General features: G+C 44.2%; 1 long non-coding RNA gene across 2 annotated transcripts in view, besides 4 other annotated features; it reads right to left on the minus strand.

Annotated features, from left to right (window-relative positions):
- Positions 1 to 19886, minus strand: part of LINC01762 (long intergenic non-protein coding RNA 1762) — a 55103-nt gene extending 35217 nt beyond the window's left edge. The window contains exons 1-2 of one of the 2 annotated variants that reach the window (NR_125972.1): positions 19841 to 19886; positions 19112 to 19232 (exon numbers count right to left, since the gene is read on the minus strand). This is a non-coding gene — a long non-coding RNA (long intergenic non-protein coding RNA 1762). Of the gene's footprint in view, positions 1 to 15293; positions 15399 to 19111; positions 19233 to 19840 lie in introns of both variants that reach the window. The other variant, NR_125973.1, reaches the window with a different exon arrangement.
- Positions 12375 to 12610: a silencer, noted in NCBI's record as "fragment chr1:117013937-117014172 (GRCh37/hg19 assembly coordinates)". NCBI's record gives its function as "represses an EF-1alpha promoter that drives an FKBP-Casp9 reporter gene in an ReSE screen in HepG2 liver carcinoma cells {active_cell/tissue: HepG2}" and the evidence as "EXISTENCE:reporter gene assay evidence [ECO:0000049][PMID:32094911]".
- Positions 16320 to 16464: an enhancer, noted in NCBI's record as "145 bp enhancer 99 fragment used in the MPRA reporter construct; PK_construct_245". NCBI's record gives its function as "activates an SV40 promoter by MPRA in HepG2 cells {active_cell/tissue: HepG2}" and the evidence as "EXISTENCE:reporter gene assay evidence [ECO:0000049][PMID:23512712]".
- Positions 16385 to 16398: a transcriptional cis regulatory region, noted in NCBI's record as "HNF1 motif; enhancer activity is reduced when this motif is scrambled". NCBI's record gives its function as "necessary for full MPRA enhancer 99 activity {active_cell/tissue: HepG2}" and the evidence as "EXISTENCE:site-directed mutagenesis evidence [ECO:0005528][PMID:23512712]".
- Positions 19331 to 19890: an enhancer, noted in NCBI's record as "H3K27ac-H3K4me1 hESC enhancer chr1:117020893-117021452 (GRCh37/hg19 assembly coordinates)". NCBI's record gives its function as "activates a minimal SCP1, AML or CMV promoter by ChIP-STARR-seq in primed H9 embryonic stem cells {active_cell/tissue: H9 hESC(primed)}" and the evidence as "EXISTENCE:reporter gene assay evidence [ECO:0000049][PMID:30033119]".

The raw sequence follows: 19966 nt of genomic DNA on the forward strand, positions 1-19966 counted from the left end.
AAGGGGCCCTCGTCTCTGGCTGCTCCTAGTCCTGACTCCAGATTCATTGCAGCGTTGCTTGGGTTGCTTTGCTTGAAGCTTAAGGAGAAATAATTAGGGAGGACTTCAGCTTGTCCTGGACAGGAAAGGATTTAAAGAAACCATCCCTGCATCTGAACATGGCCTAACAATGATACAGCCTCTACCAAATGTGACTGTGGCTACAGCCTAGGAAGAAGAGGGTGCTTTTAAATCTCCCACTCCTCATCTGTACACCCACATTCATAGCAGCATTATTCACAATAGCCAAAAGATGACAGCAACCTGTGTCCATCAACAGAGGAATGGATAAACAAAATATGGTCTATGCATACAATGGCATATTATTCAGCCTTAAAAAGGAAGGAAATTCTGATACATGTTACAACATAGATGAAACTGGAGTGAAATAAGCCAGACACAAAAAGATAAAAACTATATGATTCTACTTACATGAAGTACCTAGAGTAGTAAAATTCAAAGAGATAGAAGTAGAATGGTGGTTGTTGGGGCTGGGAGAGGAGAAAATGGGGAGTTTTTTTTAACAGGTATGGAGTTTTGGATTGGGAAGATGAAAAAGTTATGGAAATAGATGATGGTGATGGTTGCACAACAATATCAATGTACTTGATGCCACTTAAAATTGTTAAAGTGGTAAATTTTATGTTATGTATATTTATACCATTAAAAAATAATTTTTTTTTTCTGGAGATGGAGTTTGGCTCTGTCACCCAGGTTGCAGTGCAGTGGTGTGATCTCGGCTCACTGCAACCTCTGCCTCCTGAGTTCAAGCGATTCTCCTGCCTTAGGCTCCTGAGTAGCTGGGACTACTGGCATACACCACCATGCCTGGCTAATTTTTGAATTTTTTACTGGAGATGGGGTTTCACCATATTGGCCTGGCTGGTTTTGAACTCCTGACCTCAAGTGATCCACCCTCCTTGGCCTCCCAAAGTGGTAGGATTACAGGCATGAGCCACCACACCCTGCCACAAAAAATAAAATTAAAAAAAATAAATTTTTTAAAAAAGGTTTATGCCAACAGTCATTTAAAATGTACACTTGCTTTAAGGATTAATGCAACAATGAGTTTAAAATAAGTGCGTGATTTATCAAAAAAGAGGGTGAGTCTACAAAGAGATCATAAGACAAAAGTGAAGGAAACCAGGACAGATGAGGGCCTCGGGACAGGGCCTAACAGTAAGGAGAAACTCGAGGGAAGTAGGGTTAACTCTAAGGTATGACCACATTTGAAGTAGCCTGGAGAAGTCAGTGAAAAAAAAATCCTCATTCCTTCAGGCACTATTGTGACTTTAGGGGATCCAGACCTGTCTTGAGGGTTCTAGTAGCTACAGTTGAGATCTAAAGCTCAGATACATCATTTCCTTTCAATGACTTGGCCATGTGGATAGAAGAGTGAAGCATGGGAGCTGATGTGTTGATCTCAGGAGATTGATTGCTGGCTTTCTGTGTCCTTAAGCTCTTCATGGAGAGCTCAGCTGCCCCACCCAGGAGCCATCCCAGTCTAGAAAAGCAAACCCTCTTTTGACTGTCAATCCACTTGGTGTTTGCTTTTCTCTCCCGGTTCTCAGATTCTTGCTTCTGTGCCCAGGATCCTTTATCATCTGGCTCCTTTGACTTGGAAAATCCCCAAATTCTAGCCTTTGGGGCTTCTTAAATGATCTTAGCTCAACCCACAAAACTCCTTGCTTTATTCTCTAGCAGTGAAGGACAGCATCTCCACTCCTACAGTGCAACTCCCCCTTATGCTCCTCCCAGAAGAGGCAGAAAGAGCCTGCCCTCCAGGTCTTTTTGAGAAGACACCTGTGCACTGAGATGTTGAATGCTAGGTCCCCACCCTACAAGGTAGAGGGAGAGCACTGGCCGCTGCAGAAGCCAAGCCTGGAGAGATGGGCTTCCTGACCTCTGCACAGAGCAGAGTCCTGGACCTTCAGACCCAGAGGCTTTAAGATCAGGGGCCAATCTGGAATCATCTCTGCAGTGAAATAACTGGGTGTCAGTGATGGCAGCGGCTCCCTGCCTCTGTCATCACACCTGCCAGATTGCTTTCAGGGCAAGGGGCTCCCTTTGGCCTCCTAGTTCCTCAGCATTCACCTTCCCGCCCTGCTTGTGTCTCTCTCTCTGTTCCACATTAGAACTGGTTGCATTTCAGAGATTCAGAGACATCTAGCCTCAAACAGACCTAGGGAATCTGACCTATGAACTTCTGCGTGACTGGCCTGGCCCAGGTTCTGCTGATTACCCTCAGTGAATAATAAACTTTAGCCAAGTCTGATACAGTTGCTAAAGATCACTTACTCCACTGAAGATCTAACTTGGCTTGTGGGTCCCTATGATTACCATCTGCTTGGGGAAAGAGGAGAAAGTAATGCAGAGTTGCTAAGAGCGCCTGCAAGAGAGATGTCCTGTTAAGTCTCTCCTGCCTTTTCTCTATAGGCAACCCACCCAAAGAGTCTCACCCTTGACAGCTGAACTGGCTGTGAACCAGAAACCAAACACATAAATTTTCACACACACATGTATACACACATACATGTATGTGACTATATACACACATATATACATTCAAATACACATACATAGCAATATAAATAAATATAAGTATGGGTGTATATTTGAATGTATAAGTGTGTGTATATATATTTATTATATATAAGAGATTTATATATATATGAAATACAGACACTTAGTGCTTACTACATACCAGGCTCTGATTTACACACTTCACAAATAGTAGCTCCTTTCATCCTCGTAATGACCCTGTGAGGTAGACAATATTCATGTCCTTATTTTATAGATGAGGACATTGAGTCACAGAGAGATGAAGTAAATTTTCCGAGGTCATTCAGCTAGGGAGTAGCAGAGCCAGGATTCAAACCCAGGATGCTCAGCCCTAATCGCGATGCAAAATCTGATGTAAAGCACTTGGTATGCAACAGGTACTGGGCAATGATAGGAGGATTAGCATTATTATTTTACCCAGCTTCAACTCAGCTACCTTTTCACTGTGTAACACTGGAAAAATGCCCGGGAACAAGCTTCTTTGGTAAATGGCTGGTTCTAGTCAAGTCAGGGATACAGGATGATACAAAGTGATTCCACATACATGACCTTTTGCACTCCTGCATTTAATATTAGTTGGTTTGTCTAAAGACCTATAACTGATCATGATTTCTAATTTTCCAGAGGCATAAATCTGAGTCATGTATTGGATTCAGAATCTGGTTTCTGAGCACTGATCTTGTTGTCAGTGAATGGGCTGAGCCACCTGTGACACATCTGCATCACGTCATAGCTTTATTACCCTCTGTTGCTGCTTTTCATGTAGAAATTTGTGAATGACAAAAACTCATGTTTCTTTATGGAAAATGGATGCCACAAGAATGATAACTGCTGGTGCTGATGATGGAAGCAAAGAGATATAAAAAAATGGTCATTCATTCTTCAAAATGGGAGTCTTAAACAAGTTGAAGAAGAGTGGAACATGGGATTGGCAGTGACCCAGATCTGTGTCATGATCACGTCTACCATAAGCTCTATGCAAAACCTCAGAATAAGTGGTTTGTGAATTTCTACAGATATTTGTCTGGAAAACTGTGTGAAATCTGAAAGGATGGGAACTTGAGGTATGAGAACGTGTAAAGAGAAGAGGAGACCTGACCGAAATGATATGCTATAGAAGTCTTTACCATTTTAAGAATTTCCCCAGGTCTGATGGAAGCTTCATGAATGCAATGGATTTGCTCTACCTAAGTACACAGCTTGGTAGGGGATTGGATATAGAAATCCCTTTCTCTTTTTATTCAGGGAAGAAAGCAAATGGGAGCATCTGGGATCATGAGGGTATCGTGTTGGAGTGAGCTGGGCTAAGACTCCCCATGACCCATCCCTGGCCACAGCCAAAGGGCTGGCTCGAGACTCCTCCCCAGCCTCTCCATTCCCAAGGCAGCACAGATTCCTGCTTCACGATTGGCAGGTTCAAGTATGATCGCTCTACCCTTGGCCTCATTTCCTCAATGCCCTGCCCTCCTTTATTCCTCTGCTTTCCTGGCTTCAGTGTTTCTACCAGCATTTTCAATATAGAAGGGGACTCATCAGATCAGCTTCTACCAGGGCTGATATTTAACTTGCTGAGGAGCCAACAGTTGTGACATTAAGAAAGAACAGTAAGAGCAACGGTGTCACTGAAAACAAGGATAACTAGTGGGCTATTTTATGCACAAATGGTCCTTTGCCATTCCCATCAAGCTGAAAACAAATATCCTGAAACTATTGATCAGCAGCCAGTTAAATTAAATATCTAATTAAAAGAGAACTAGAGCTGTTTTAAAATCAGACACTTCAAACACTTGCCAGTCAGAACATGATGAAACTGGGGGTTTTAACTCAGTAGCAGCAGCAAATAAAATATTTACAGATCTAAGCTGAAATAAATGCATAGATTCTCATTTTTAAGGAGGATGCACATAGTGCTATTTCAAACACACCCTGGCGAATACTTGATGCCTCTGATTTAGAGAATGTGCGGGGAGCACCATTTGTCAGGAAATGGGATAGAACCATCCAATGTTTCCAAGTGTGATCATTTCTAATGGAACAGGGAGAACTCTACAAATGGAATTCAAGTAGGATTGCCAGATGAAATACAGGAGAATGAATTGTCTTTTGAATGTATGTCCCAAATATTGCATGGGACATACTTATACTAAAATTTTATCTGTTTACCTGAAATTCAAATTTAACCAGGCATGCTGTATTTTTATTTGCTAAATCTGGCAACCCTAAATCCAAGATTGTAAGTAACCCCGGTGACCTGGGAGAATAGTTGGGTGACCAGCAGAAGAGAATCCTGGAGTGGTTCAAGTGCTGCAAGGGTGTCGTGTGAGAATTCGAGCTTCCGTCTCTTCATTTGTACAGGGGAGAATGATACTGTGCAGAGCTGCTGCTGTAAGGATTATCTGTGAAGTCATAAATCACATAAATGTCTGTCACATTTCCTGTATGCAGGAAATAGCAGTCACTATTGGTATGTAGAGGGCCTATAGCCAACGAGCGGCAAACAATAAGCCCTTAATATAAATTGGTTCTTATCTCTAAAAGAAAGAGAGCTGTTAGGTAAGAGTGGCCATCATTTATGAGCACCTATCATATATATCAAGCACTTTGCCACATTGTCTTTTTTTTTTTTTTGGATAGAGTCTCACTTTGTTGCCCAGGCTGGAGTGCAGTGGCATGATCGTGGCTTATTGAAACCTCAACCTCCCCAACTCAAGAGATCCTCCCGCCTCAGCCTCCTGAGTAGCTGTGACTACAGGTACATGCCACCATGCCTGGCTAATTTTTTTGTATTTTTTGTGGAGATGGGGTTTCGCCATGTTGCCCAGGCTGGTTTTGAACTCTTGGGCTCAAGCAATCTGCCTGCCTCAGCCTCCCAAACTGCTGGAATTACAGGTGTGAGCCACTGTGCCCAGCAACACTGTCTCATTTAAGCCTCATTGAAGATCCTACAAAAATAGATATGATTATTATCTTTTCATGGGAATAGAAACCAAAGCTCAGCGTTTAGTTGACCTAATATTATACCTGTGAGAGGCAGAGCTAGGATCCAAACCTGCTTAACTCCAAATCCTGTGATCCTTTAACCATATCACACTATTCCTCACCATTTGACTCCAGGCAGGTAAGAATCTTGCTAGAATAACAGATTACTATGTTTGCCACAGAACTGACATCAACTTAACCTCTTCTTGTGATAAATTTTTATCTCCAATAATTGGGGAATTTTTTTTTTCCTGTAGGAACTCATCTGCAGTCTCATGATGAAGTCAGTGAAGAAATGGATTTTGCATTTTAGAAACTCATTTTATTGTCTACCTGGCTGATATGCCTATTTTGCATAAAATAACAGATAATTGTAAAATTTTAAAATAAAAATACATAATCCTTTTGGAAAACTGGCAGGAAGTTAGATGGTAACTACAGATTACTTACCAGCTTCTTTCTTGTCCCAGTCATCCTCACTGTACCACCTCATTTGTTTAAACTGAACCCCAAAAGCCTGCTGCTCTTTCCCCTGTGGGCTTCACTGGTTAGAATAGGAAATAAAATGGTGGGCAGGGAGGCTGCCATGCTGGAAAAAGAGAGCTTTCGGAGGAAGGACAACCCTGAAAAGTCAATGCCTCTTTTTATAGCAATAAAAAGGCTCTTAGTTGGGGCATCACCCAGGAAGGAAGAATTCCTCCTTTGAAGGAAACCATGTTGTGGGGAGAACATGACTCAGTGTCATTTCTTGCAGGATTTAATGCATGGGGGACTTTTGGGGAAGACGCAGGAGCCAGTGTCGTGCCAACCATGCCTGGAAGGGGAGGTCAAGACATAAAGCCAAAACAATCCATAGAAAAGAGAGATTTTGCCAATCCATACTGAAAACGCTTTCCTCCCCAATGCCTTGGATAGTTGTCTAAAATGTCAGAATGGGGAGACACAGCCAAGTGCTTTCAGTATGCATGTTCTCAGTAAGACTTTACCTTCCATTTTTTTTATTGATAAGAATATCCCAGTACTTTGGGATTGTCACCTAATCCTACTTAGTTTTTTTTTTCCTACTTTTTTATTGTGATAAAATACACATAACATGAAATTTACCATCTTCACCATTTCTAAATTTACAGTTCAGCAGTGTTAACATCGATGACATTGTGCAACGCTACTTCATTTTGCATTGTGATTTTGGACAGGGCAGGCAAAAAAGAAATTTCACCCCTTGCCCCTTATAACAACAAGTTTCTTGAAAAATACTTAACTTACGTGGCTCCCTTCTGAACCTTGCCTGTTCGTTCCTTCCTTCTCCCTCCCTCTCAATCATCCCTTTCCCTTTTGCTCTCCTTTTACTTTGTCAGCAACACTTGTGTTTCCTGGAACAATCACTGCCTTTGTATTGATTATCCATTTCTTTCCAGGTCCTGTGGGAGCTGGTTTCACACCTGTTGGCTCATTTGCCTCCCCTCTTTCCTATGGCTTGCCCTTCGGCCCACTGACCAATCATTTTGGGACCCCTTCTCTGGCGCCCCCATTCCTCCAGCCCAGACCCTCTCTGGACTCATGGGTCTGAAATTAGTGTTTTAAATCCCGAGTTTGTGTCTGAAGGTCAGCTGGAGAGCTGTTTACATGTCTGTAAGCCCCAGAGGGCTTATTTGCACAGTGTACTTACCTAAGCAGGGCTGGTTACAAGCCTCAGAGGCCCCAAGAGGGCTTCCCAGGCCTGGCCAGCAAGAGCACAAACAGGGAGCCATGGAGGACTGTTGTTGCCGAAGTAAGTTTTCAGCTTCCAAAAACAAGTCTTCTGATTTGCTACCAAGCCTTTCGCCTTGTTTATGCCATCAGGCTCCTGAGTCTCAGCTTTCCCCGTGGGGCTAAAGTCTTCACTGCAGAACTATATTTGTCATGTGTTTGTGTTTGAGGCAGATTGTCAGCCGCCCTCTTAGACGCTGTCTCTGAGCTCTGCACAGGCCAGAAAGGGAGAGACGCAAATTGGCACCAGGATGTCTGGGGTTTATCAGATGCTTCTTTCTTTCAACCTAATGACTATGTTGCTTCAGGGGCTGCCCTAGGGGTGTATGAAGACAGCTGAGTTTCCTTTATATCTGTTTATTATCCGCTTTCTTTTTAAAGGAGTTTTGAAGTCTTAATAATTTGGTACATGGTTGTGTTTTGCTAAGATTGTGGTGAGGACTTATGGCTCAGTTTTGTTTTTATGTTAGTATAATTGGTCTAGTTCCTGCTCCACAAAGTGTGGCTGGTGTTAAAAAAGACTATCTAGCACAGAGTATTATTTGGGGTCTTTGGGATGGAAGTGGTGGTGAGTAGTATTCATGAGCAATATCAAATACAGAAAACTCAATTTTTCTCCATAAATCAATGATGGTGATGGTGGTACTAGTGGTAGCAGTCATGATGGTAAGATGGTGGTAATGATGGTGGTGATGGTGATGACAGTAATGATAGTAGTGCTGATGATAATGGTGATGACGGTGACAATTGACAGTGGTTGTGATGATAGAGGTAGTGTTGAGATGATGGGGATAAGACTGTTAGTGGAGGAAGAAGAGGAAGATGATGGTGAAGAGAAAAGGAGGGAGGAGTGGTAATGGGGAGGGACATATTTCCATTATCATGATCCTAGGTCTGTGACTGACTCTTAGCCTGGAAGATTGCCCAAAGTGGATTCCCTTCCATAGGCTACCCCATTAACTCTGGCCTTGCTAGCATTCAAAAACATCAAGTTTTTGTAGACAATAGCAGGATCCAAAATGAGAAAAACACAGTAATTTCTCACAGAGCTTCCCAGTATGAAGATTGCTTGGAGAGAGTTTGATCATGTGTATGAGTCATTACTTGTTAGCTCACCTTGGCAATCTTTAGATACAGAAAGAAGATACCAGTGGTGACTACTGTGCTTTTTACCCAGTACTTGCTTGAGGAGAAAAAGCAGGGATTTTGGTGTTATACGGATGAGGGTTCAAATTTCAGGCTTTTCATTTCCTACTAACTTGTCCTCTTTAAGCCTGACTTTCCTCATCCGTGAAATGGAAATGACATCTACTTGACAAGGCTGGGCAAATTAAATGAGACAGAGCATGGCACGTAGTTCTCAATGAATGTCACACTCTTCCCAGAAGGGGAGGTAATGACGCTCCCGGCAGTTTTATGCTTACTTTCTGCTTCTCCTAAACCTAGATATTAGCTAGGACTAGCAGGCACTTCCTACCCAAAACATTTTTCATGAGTCACCTATTTACTTATTAAGTAAAAATTAGATTTCTATGACTTAGGATCAGAAAGCTTCAAACATCAAAACAATAGTTTAAAAGAGAGAGAGAGAGAATTTAACCACTCAGTTGGTTGTTTTTTCAACTGCTGCCCAGCTGGTTTTTTCCACTAAATGGATTAATATTTTGGTTAACTTGACCATTTAAAATGATTCTATAACTTTTTTTTTTTACGCTGTCAGGATGTTTTCCTTGATATCTGGCCCTAGTTCTCTTTGCTTATGTCATTTCATCATTACTCCTACTTATGCCGTCTGGTACCTGAATTAAAACATTTAGATTCTATCTTTTGAATTTGTGCCTTTCAAATATTTATAAACCATAATCATGACTTCATACAGCCAATCCTATACATATTTAATTTTTTTATGAAGAAGTCCTTTTCCCCTAAATTATTTATTTCCTCTCTGAAATCTTTCCAAAGTTGTTTTAGCCTTAAGATGAAGAGATGCCCCCAAGTGGATTGTTATCAGACAGACTCTAAAAAGTAGTTGTTGTGAAACCTGGGGTATATATTAAAAGTTCAGACTTCTAGCCCTCATCACCAGTGATTCTGATTCATGGTTCTGGGGTGTGGGGCCCAGGAATGTGCATCTTAACAGCACCCTCCTTCCCCTCTCCCCCACATACAATATCCTCTACCCAATTTACAGGTAATTTTGGTGTGAATTCCCTGTAGAACACACTTGAGGCACAGTGCCACCTCACAGTTGACTTGGGAAAGCAAAACAGAAGACATTGGTTCCTGCTTTCTAATGGGGCATTACATTCAGACCTGTTTGCTTAAGATTATAGCAAAATTACCTTGACAGAGTTTTGAGTGTTTCCAAGCCTTCAGTCAAATAGTTACACTGTCTTGGTTTACTGCTGCAGATGGCTAAGCGAAGTTTCTAGAAGGCTATCAATTTTCCCATCTCTTTAGTCTTTAGGTCTGGGTTGGTAGAAGAAGGGTTGCAGAAGGGCACTTTATCTACCACGCCGTGTCTCTAGAAATCTAGCAATTTTGAATCCTGTATTACTATTCACATTTCTTTTTTGTAAGAATATGATCCAGCAAATAACTAATAATAATTCTTCATACTAGTATAGCACTTTGTGGTTCATAAAATGTCTTGACTTTCATTGTGTCATCTGATCTCCAGAATAGCTCTGGTTAAGGTAAGTAGGTGAGGTATTACTGTTTCCATTTTACAAATGAAGAAATGCTCAGAGAGAATAAGTAACTTGCCCAGGGATTTACAAAAAGTAAATGGAAGTCCTAGGATTTAACAATTATGGAATCTTTCATCATCTCTGCCTTAAGGTTGCACTTCTCTAGACTGTGGTATTATCAACCCTATAGTCTGAATGTTACAAACTAATAAATAATATATTTACTTCATTAAAATATCTATTAGTTAGCTGCTTGGAATGGGTAGAAAATATTGAAGTAGAGAATTTTTAACCTACCCTTTAATTACTGCATTGATGTTATCCATGATTGTATAATATTGTTCTTAATTCCTCTAAGTTTTATTTTGAAAGCTAAACATAAAAGACAATGGCAGTTTGTCATGTTGAGAAGAATATAATTATTAACCTCATAGGTTCATCCCACAAGTAATGATTGTCATATGGACCCTGTTGGCAGGAGAGGGAAGATGAGAGGTCTCCCAGCTCTTAGTTAAGGCCTAGGCCATGGGTCTGGTGTTCCCAGTCGATGGATCATAATTCATTAAAATTGTATATTGGACACTGGCTATATCCAGAGTCTACACATTAGATAATATTAAAAGAACATAAAAGGAATATAAATGAATCCAGGTGCTAAGTGACTTGGGAGTCCTTGAACTTGTTGCTTTTACCTCCATTTATTTATTTATTTATTTATTTATTTATTTATTTTCATTCATTCATTCATTCATTGAACACATGTTTTATTGAGCACTTACTGGAACGGCACACTGTGCTGGGCACTGGTATTACAATATTGGGCAAGACAGAATCATCCCTACATCATGAGCTAATAGTCCAATGGGGGACACTGACAAGGATGCTGGCAGCCACAGGCAGTGGGATAAATGCTGTGGGAAAGGCAGGGTGCTGCACATACACTAACAAGGGGCATCCAGCCAGCCAGCATATTAGGCCTAGTATTTTTAAATGGATGTAGATTTATTGGGAGTGGCCTGTAGGGGGTGTGCTGAGGGCATGGCCCCTGGCCACTTTATCCCTTGGCACCCTGAGGGTGCTAGGAAGTCATTGCCCTACACATTTAGTTGCCTTTGCCTGAAATATTTTCTTCCTCTCCTCCCTTAGCTAAGTTCTAGTACCCACACATCCCTACAGGCTAGGGAGCCCTCTCTGTATTGTTATATATTCGACCCCTGTGTACTGCGACATCCTGTGAAAATCCTTGAACATCATCCTCATCAACCTCACTGTCCTTCAAGTATCTCCCCCATCAGTCTTTGGGCACTCCTAGATCAGGGCGATCAGGGCCTGTGTCATTTACCTCTGTATTCCCTGCACCAAGCAAATGCTTGGCACATAATAGAGGCTTAATAAATGTTTGCTGAATGCACAAATGAATGAATGACCCTAACCTTTAATATCTGGTTGATGAGGAGGCAGGAAACTGAACATATACAAATAAAACCATTTGCAAACAATTAGCTACAAGTCAATATTTCAATGCATCAAATCAGGTAGCATTCTTTTTCCAATATTTACAGTGCACCTTTTTTACCCAGCATGCATATTCCTGGGGGTCGTGGACTGCCCCCAACAGGGATAAAATGGGTGTAAATGTTATGTATACTTAATTTCTTTAACAAGAAAAGTATCAGAGGATTACTTGGAGTCACTAATGGTACTACCCCGGTAAAGAGTAAATCATTTTGAAGTTACTGTATGCTATGGTTTGAATGTGTCCTCCAAAATTCATGTGTTGGAAATTTAATCTCCAATGCAACAGTGTTGAGATGTAGAACTTTTGAGAGATGATTAGGTCATTAGGGCTCTGCCCTCATGAATGGACTAATGCTGTTATTGGGGAAGTGGATGAGTTATTGCAGGAATGGGTTCCTCATTAAAGGATGAGTTCCGCCCCCTTCCTCTCCCTCTCTCACACCCTCTTGCTCTTCCACTGTCTGCCATGGGGGTGATACAGCAAGAAGGCCCTCACAAGATGCCAGCACCTTGAGAGTGGACTTTCCAGCCTCCAGAATTGTGAGAAATAAATTTCTTTTTTTTTTTTAAATAAATTACCCACTCTGTGCTCTTCTGTTCTAGCAACACAAAATGGACTAAGACACCATGGGCAGGGTCTCTGAGAAATATGAGTTGAATAGAAAAGTTTTCATCAAAATGCTGCTCAGTTGCTGAGGTAAAAGCCAACAGGGCTCAGACTAGGGTGAGATGAGTGAGACCAAGTCATACAAGTTACAGGATCACATTTTGTCTTTATTTAACTTTTTTAGTGCATCATGATTAATTGCATTAATTTTTATTTATTAAAATATCAATTATTTTGATTGCTGAGTTTTTTCACTCTGCCCCCACAGCTCCCGGACCTGGGGGCCCCCACCCCGTGAGCTCTGCCTTCCTGATACACAGATTACAGGGGAAACTCAGACTCCCTCTGCAGGAGCTGGATGTCAGTTATCACCAGGGCTCAGCTGCGTATCCCGAGGGCTCACTCTGCTTGCCTGATTCACCTCCCTTTCCAGTTTTGCCTTCCCTTCTTCCTCTAGCAGTCTGAGCATTCTGCACCTCCCCCTCCCTGTGCTTCAATGCCATCTCACCCAACATCCACACTAGGGCTGCATGTTCTCCAGAGCCTGCTCCATCCTTCCCTTCCCTTCTACCCACAACTGACTTGCTTTATAATGGAAGAAGCGTTTTAATGCCTGCCATGAAATCCTGTCATCTGGACAGGAAGGGCAAGCTCCCTGGCTGAATCATCAAGAGGAGAGCACCTGCCTGGAATAAGGCTCTGAATCTTCTACAGCTCTCTTTTCTGTTTCCCTTCCTCAGAAGTATCCCCTGGACACCGCAGAGGCTGTAGAACCAATACTGCCTGCACTGGCCAACTGTGGGGGCAGTGGCTTCACACCCCGTGTGTGCTGCAAACACACTCAAATCTATGGCCTGTAATAATTTCTGCACATCCCTGTGTTGCTCCCATAGGACAGATAGAGGCACAAAGGCCCTGGCTGATAAGTCGCATCAACTGATCACATAACCACTCATTGACAAAACAGAGATTAAACCTATATTTTTGACCCCCCACCACCCCCCATCCTGTGTCCATTTCATTATTCCATAAACATTCCCCTCTACCACACCCTACTTCCCCCTCACCTGCCCACCCCTGCAAAGTCACTTGATCTCTTGGTGAATTAGCATGAGCCAACATTGATGTTTTAAAATAGCAAATTTTCAGGCTGAAAAAAGTCAAGATCATCTTTAAGTCCCCAAGGACATATGCAACCAGTGATAGAAAAATCCTCTCCCACTTCTCCCCCTCCAGTCTGAATTGACTTAGCAACTTTTCTTCAGCTCCTCAGCAGAGCCTTTCACAAATTCCCACTTGCAGCACTGCTGAAGGATAGACATCCTGATGTGCTCTCAGCTGGACTGCTGCTGTGGGCTTCAAAAAAACAGATGCAGCAGCAGTGAGTGTGTGCCTGTATTATATTTCTCAAGTGAACATCTTCAGAAGCTGGGGACATGTGTTTTCTAGCCCAGCATGTAGGATCTGTGGCCCCTGAGGCTGTGGGAGGGCAAAGTCCTGTAGAGAAGCTATTGTTTTCCTTGCCTTTGCTGATAGCATGAGATCAGCTAAATGATGGTGGCAGGTATCCAAGACCAAGAAAAAGAGTAAGTAGGGGTACAGTAATGGGAAGCAGTAAATCGTAGGACATATTTGTAATCTAAGCAACAAAAATCAAGCATTCTCTGGGAAATGCATGAAGCACTGAATGCTTGAGTGCCTAATGGGTTTTGAAGCCTCAGTAAGTTTATGTGGATGGGTGCCAAGAGCAAACAAATCACTGCAGCCACAAGCTGCCTCACTCCATATCCGAGATGCATACTGAGAATGACTGGGAAGGCTACTTGGTATGGGAACCCTAAAGCAGTTAGGATGGGGAGGCCCCCGGGGAAATGCTATCCTTAGTGCTCTCCAGGAAGCATCATTTACAACTTCACCATTGGCCAAACACTAATATATGTGCTTTACATATATCATCTCATCGAAGCCTCATTATAACACTAATGGGTTAGGTGTTATTACACCCCTATTTTAAAGATGAAGGAAGTCAGACTCAGTTAAGATCATACATCTATTAAGAGGTAGGGCAAAATCCAGACTCAGTCTTTTCTGATTCCAAAGCACCTGCTCTTAACTGCCCCACTTTATTGCCCTCAGAGCTCTTTGGTACCAATTACACCAGGCATTCCTAGCTACAAGGCATTGTTCATTCATTCATCCATTCATTCAACATCCAGCAATATTTCTTGAGCATCTGCATCGTGCCAGGCCCTTTGCTAGGCCCTGGGACCTCACTGATGAAGGAGACATGGACCCTGTCCTCATGGAACTTGGAATCTAATGAGTGAGTGCCAGGGTCTGGAATGGGAGTTAAGGACTCACTTAAGACTGGGCAGGTTGTATCTTGCACAAAGGCTCTGCACTAAGGGGGCAAGTGGGTACTGAAACCCAGCTTATATTCCACTAAGCTATGTGCCCACAGAGCGACATCTTCTAGAGGAAGCAATTTAAAAAATTTTTTCCCAAAGAGTAATATGGGCTATTCTGGAAGTACCTGCCTCCCTTAACTTTTCTTTCTTTCTTTTTTCTTTTCTTTTTCTTTTTTTTTTTTTTTTTTTTTTGAGACGAGTCTCGCTCTGTCATCCAGGCTGGAGGGCAGTCACGCAATCTCAGCCCACTGCAACTTCCACTTCCTGAGTTCAAGCAATTCTCATGCCTCAGCCTCCCAAGTAGCTGGGATTATAAGTGCAGGCTCCCACACCCATAGAAATGGGATTTCACCATGTTGGCCAGGCTGGTCTAGAACTCCTGGCCTCAAGGGATCTGCCTGCCTTGGTCTCTCAAAGTGCTGGGATTACAGGCATGAGCCACTGCACCTGGCTGCCTCCCTTAACTTTTCAAGCCAGTGTCACCCTGAAAGACATCCTCATGCACAACCTGCAGTGTGTAGGGAACATGAACGCACCAGGTAGACTCTGGACAGTAAGGAGGTCAGCAGCAAGTCCAAGAAAGTGTACTCAGGTCTGTTTGGCCCCAGTCAATGAGGTCCACATTCACCTTCAGGAAATCCTGGCCAGTCAACAATGATTTAAACCAATCCCTTCACCACCCCCAGGCAAAGTCCCTGTGTAAGTAAAACTTCCAGTGATTCCCAAAGATAGTATCCCCACCTCAGCAGACGGTGGAGGCCCCTGCTCGGCCCTGGACCTGCAGGCCTTCTTCCAACAACTGTCAGACCCCACAGGAATGGAAAGGAAGGCTTCTGGAGACACATACTGGAGGGAACAAGGGGACAAAAAAGGCAAGCTGACATCAACCCCAAACCCCAATAATTCGGAGGAGAGTATCCCTGGTAACAGAAACAGAGACAGAAGGAGGTCTGCGGGAAGAAAGATGAGTTCTTTATGTATGCCAATTTTCACATGTTAAACATGCCATGCCTTCTATCCGTGGAGCCTTCACATACAAGACACTATGTGCGATATTTACAAAAGCCCTAACCCGATTGCCTTTTTATAGATGAAGAAATTGATATGCAGAGAAACAAAATAATTTGGCTTAGGTCACATAGCTAGGAAGTGGCAGAACTAGAAAGTGGCAGAGGTGGGCCCTCTTGATTCAAAAGACACTGAATCAATGTGTAGTCTAGCTTAGAAGTCCTCGGCCTGAAGATAAAGATGAAGGAAATGAGATAAAGGGAATGAGGCCAAGAAACAGTGAGGCAGATGGAGAGAAGGGAAAGAGAGGTACAAAGGTAGTGGAGGATGCACCCTAATAACTCCTCACAGATAAAGCAATACAGCTACTGCGACCAGCTATCAATGCAGTTCATAAATGCAGAGATCATCAGAGCAGGAAAGGACCTCTGTGCTCCCAGCCTCCCCGTGTTACAGCTGAGGAGTAGAGGGCCAAGGCATCTAGTGGCTTCCCCAAGGTTCTCCAGGCTGCTGTGGAGGCAGAGCCATGGCCACGGCCCTGGCCTCCTGGCACTCAGGCCTAACAGCTTCCATCAGGCTGTACCACTGAGATTATCATCATCAGTGATGATGGTGCCATTAACAGCCATGGCCACCACTATCTGGTTTTTTAGCACCAGCCACCCTGGCAGCCATCTTCATTTTGTGACTTGAAGAAAGCACTGCCCTGGTCATGTGAGCACAAGAGGAATGGAAAATTCCAGGTCAGGGAACAACACACCCTCCAGGCATCCTTCTCCACCAGCCCTGCCTTCAGAGGCACCAGGCCCTTTTGTCCCACCACCAGTTAATATTTCACTTGGGTGAGACTTTAGAGAACAAAGAACACAAAGCTGGCCTTGAGGGGCCAAAGGTAAGCAGCCCATGGTTCCCGATTCGGCTCATAAATAAGAACAGGGCAAATGTACTTTGGATAAGGACGCGCTCAGCCTCCCGCAGAACAGCTGGGGAAGCTATTCATAGGAAAGCGTGCTATTTGCGTCTGCCTGGCATTTGAATGAGGCTCACCTAACTGTGCCTGCCCTCCCCACAGATGTGAGTCACGCTCCCCACTCACGAGTGAGGAGTGGCCAGGGGCAAAGGAGAATTGCTTCTCGGCTCAGCTGAGAGAACTGTGGGGGCCAGGAGCGGCACTGCCAAGGATATCTCCCTCCCCCGGGCAGGGAGGGCCTCCAACTGAGGACACTTATTCTGTAGTGATAGAGCCTGATTCCCCTCCATGTGAGAGAGGTGCCTCCTTGGACCCTGCTACTTTGTCCCTTGGCCCTTGGTCAAGCAAAGGGGACAATTCTCAGCCCCCAACCCCTTGCCGGTGGCTTTGACTATCTTCTCACATCTCCAGTACTCGGGGAAAGCCAGTCAGAGCAGCGTGGGAGGCCAGTTCTAGTGTCACGCTGCCATCCTCCAAGTTCTACTGGTCCCTGGTCTCTAATTGCAAAGCTTACGTGCTGTGGAGGTGAAGTGGGGGTGATCCCTCCCCCTTAAGCAGCACTGCCCACTTCTGAAGGTCATCCACCAATGCTCCTGCCTCCTGTAGCATCCAGTGAAGTTCTGGGCTGGTTCTGAGCCGAGGGTGTGCCGGAAGCAGGGCTCATTATGGTCCAAAATAACCTTGGGAGGTCAAGCCCAGGCCTGGGCATCCCTCATCCAAGGAGCCCTGATGGGGGGGTCTCTCAGGGCCTAGCCGAAGAGTCAGTTCCGCTCCATAGCAGCACTGATGGTTCAGGTCAGTCCCAGGCCCATGAGAAAAACTCCAGTTCTGCACCAAAACACAGTGGCCTTTGGAGTCCATCAGACTCCAAGCATTAGGAAGGGCCAAGCTCTTCTCCCATTGGTAGTTCTCACACACCTGTGGGTCCAGAGAGGGGCTACCCGCCATGATCCTGGGAGCTGTGGTCTAAGGGATCTCTGTATACCTGAGTATGCTCAGCTGCGGTTTGGTGTTTTTTATTAGTGAATGGCTTAGCTCCTCAGCTGGACCATAAACTTCTCAAGGGAACATGCTGTGCCCTTATCTTTGTGTGCCTGCATGACAGCACACAGCCAGCATGCAAACCATGACCTCATATGCACTTAACACTTGACTATATCTCTTTGGCGACTAGACTCTACTCCTTTGGACAGGGACTTCTTAATTCTGTATTTCTGAATGGCCTAGTGCTGGCTGTGACACAGGGTAGTTATATAATTGATGGTGTTGATTTGAATTGTCCAGTTTGAATAAAGAATTTTCTAAATGAGTCGACATTATGACACAATGGATATAGATGAGACCATTAATGCATTTGAAATTTACACTAGTGGACACATGATGGTAGATGCTATAGATACAGGAACCCATGCAAATTCCAACTTTGAGAAACTAGTAACCTATTTCGAAATTATACCTTCTCCTGTTCTTCATGGGCAAAGATGATCCAAGCATGGAGGACATGACATTTAAGCCTTCTTCCCAGTGTAAGGGATGTGCCTTCAGCTAAATTTTTCTCTCAGTCAACATTTATGGGCACCTACTGTGTGTTAGGCACTGTACTATGGGCTGAGTATTCAAAGAAAAACTAGGCACAGGTGAATCGTAAATGGAGAGCTACGGGTCTAGTGGGGCTGAAGGCACTTTCTCAAGGAACTCATGGCACTGAAATAGCTGCTGCTTGAGAAGTATGGCCTAAGCTCCATGGGAGTGAGAAGGGATGAATTCTTCCTGGGGCCAGGAAGGGAGGATGAAATCAGGAAAGGCCTCCCAGAGGAGCAGATGTTTGAAGGATGGACAAATCCAGATGGACAATAGAGTATGTATTCTAGGCTGGAGGGTATTAACCAAAGCATGGAACCCCCTCAGTTCTTTGGGAGGAGAACAGTCTCCTCTGCTCTCACTGTAGCTGGTGGCTTGATTGCTGACCAAGGTCAGGGTGACACCTTTGGCCAAAGAATGGGGCATTTGCTTCTAAGTCAGCCAAGGGCTCTTTCTGTCTGAAAATAGCTGCCTGAATTCATTTCCCCAATTAGTCCCAGAGGCCAAAGATAGGAGCAGGCTTTCTCCACCAGCAGGGCAGAAACTGCAGCTAGAAAGCCGGCCCTGCAGCATGAGGAACCCCTGGGGAGCTGGCAGGAGACCTTGAGGTCTGACCGGCTGTGTTTGGATGGACCCTCTCTAGCTCTTTCCCCGTCATGTGACTGAAAACCTTATCATAATGAAAGCTGTAAAAATGCCAAACTTTAACCTTATTAAAGTCACACTGTTCTGGTCTTGGCAACCATAATAGGATTTTACAACTCAACCTCTCTGACTAGAGTCCTTGAACAGCCCAGGGTCTGTCAGGGTCCGTGATGGGTGACTTAATGCCTTCAGGGACTGGTGCCCACCCACATTCCCACCCTCCCTGTGTCCATCCACCACCCGTGCTCACCGTGGCCTTCCATATGGCCTCCTGTTTTGTTACTCATAGAAATGGAGAAATTTCCACTACCATGGACCCCAGGAAAAACATATGAGCATACCCTACAGCACTTACCAGCTGACATGGTATTTTCCTCCGGATTAATGAAGCACAGTGGAATTTTAGCAGTTGCTGTAATGATTAATATGTCAAATCCATATTGCAGGAGAGGGAAACAGGAAAGCGATGTGAGAACCTAGGAGGGGGGAGGAAAAACAATGGGAAGGGAAGAGAGGTAGCAAAGCCAAAGAAGGACAGGGAAGGAAGAGAAGAACAAGGGAAGGACAGGGCAAAGTGGGGAGAGAGGAACACGGACTCCCACAGGGGTTGGATCAAACAGGCTCGAGCACATTTAGGGACTTCCTCCTGCCACATTGGTAGGAAGGTGGGTCAAGTCAGTTCCTGAGGAGAGGTCTCCCAGGAGCAGTTATTAGCATAAGGTTCTACATGTCGGGAGGTCATGGACCTTGAAGATTTGAGGAAAGGTATGGGGTTTATCCCTAGAAAAAAAATACACATAAAGGGGTTTACTAAGCCCCTAAACCTCCATGAGAAAACACAAAAATGAAAAAACCCTGGGTTCAGCTGACGGTGTTTCTGGAGCTGGGACTGTGTCATCCCTGTCAGCATCCCCTCTCCATGTGATGCCTTTCAGAAACAAGTTTGGAAAGATGACAATGGCGTCAGCCACAATACACATTCTGTTTGCTGAGCCTCTGTCTTGCCCTGTGAGCGCCCACCCTCTCCTCCCCACCTGCAGGCCCACCGCCATGCAGCTCCCAGGATGAGGTCATGCTTACTCACAGGGTCCCTTCCTCCAACTCTAGGCAGTCCAGTGCCCCTACATGAAGTGGTGTCCATGCTGTGCGTGAACATGCTCCGCAGTCTTGAGACCATTACACGGCTGGACAAAGGAATGCCTGGCCAAGC

This window comes from Homo sapiens, chromosome 1 (genome assembly GCF_000001405.40).
Source record: "Homo sapiens chromosome 1, GRCh38.p14 Primary Assembly".
NCBI lineage: Eukaryota > Metazoa > Chordata > Mammalia > Primates > Hominidae > Homo > Homo sapiens.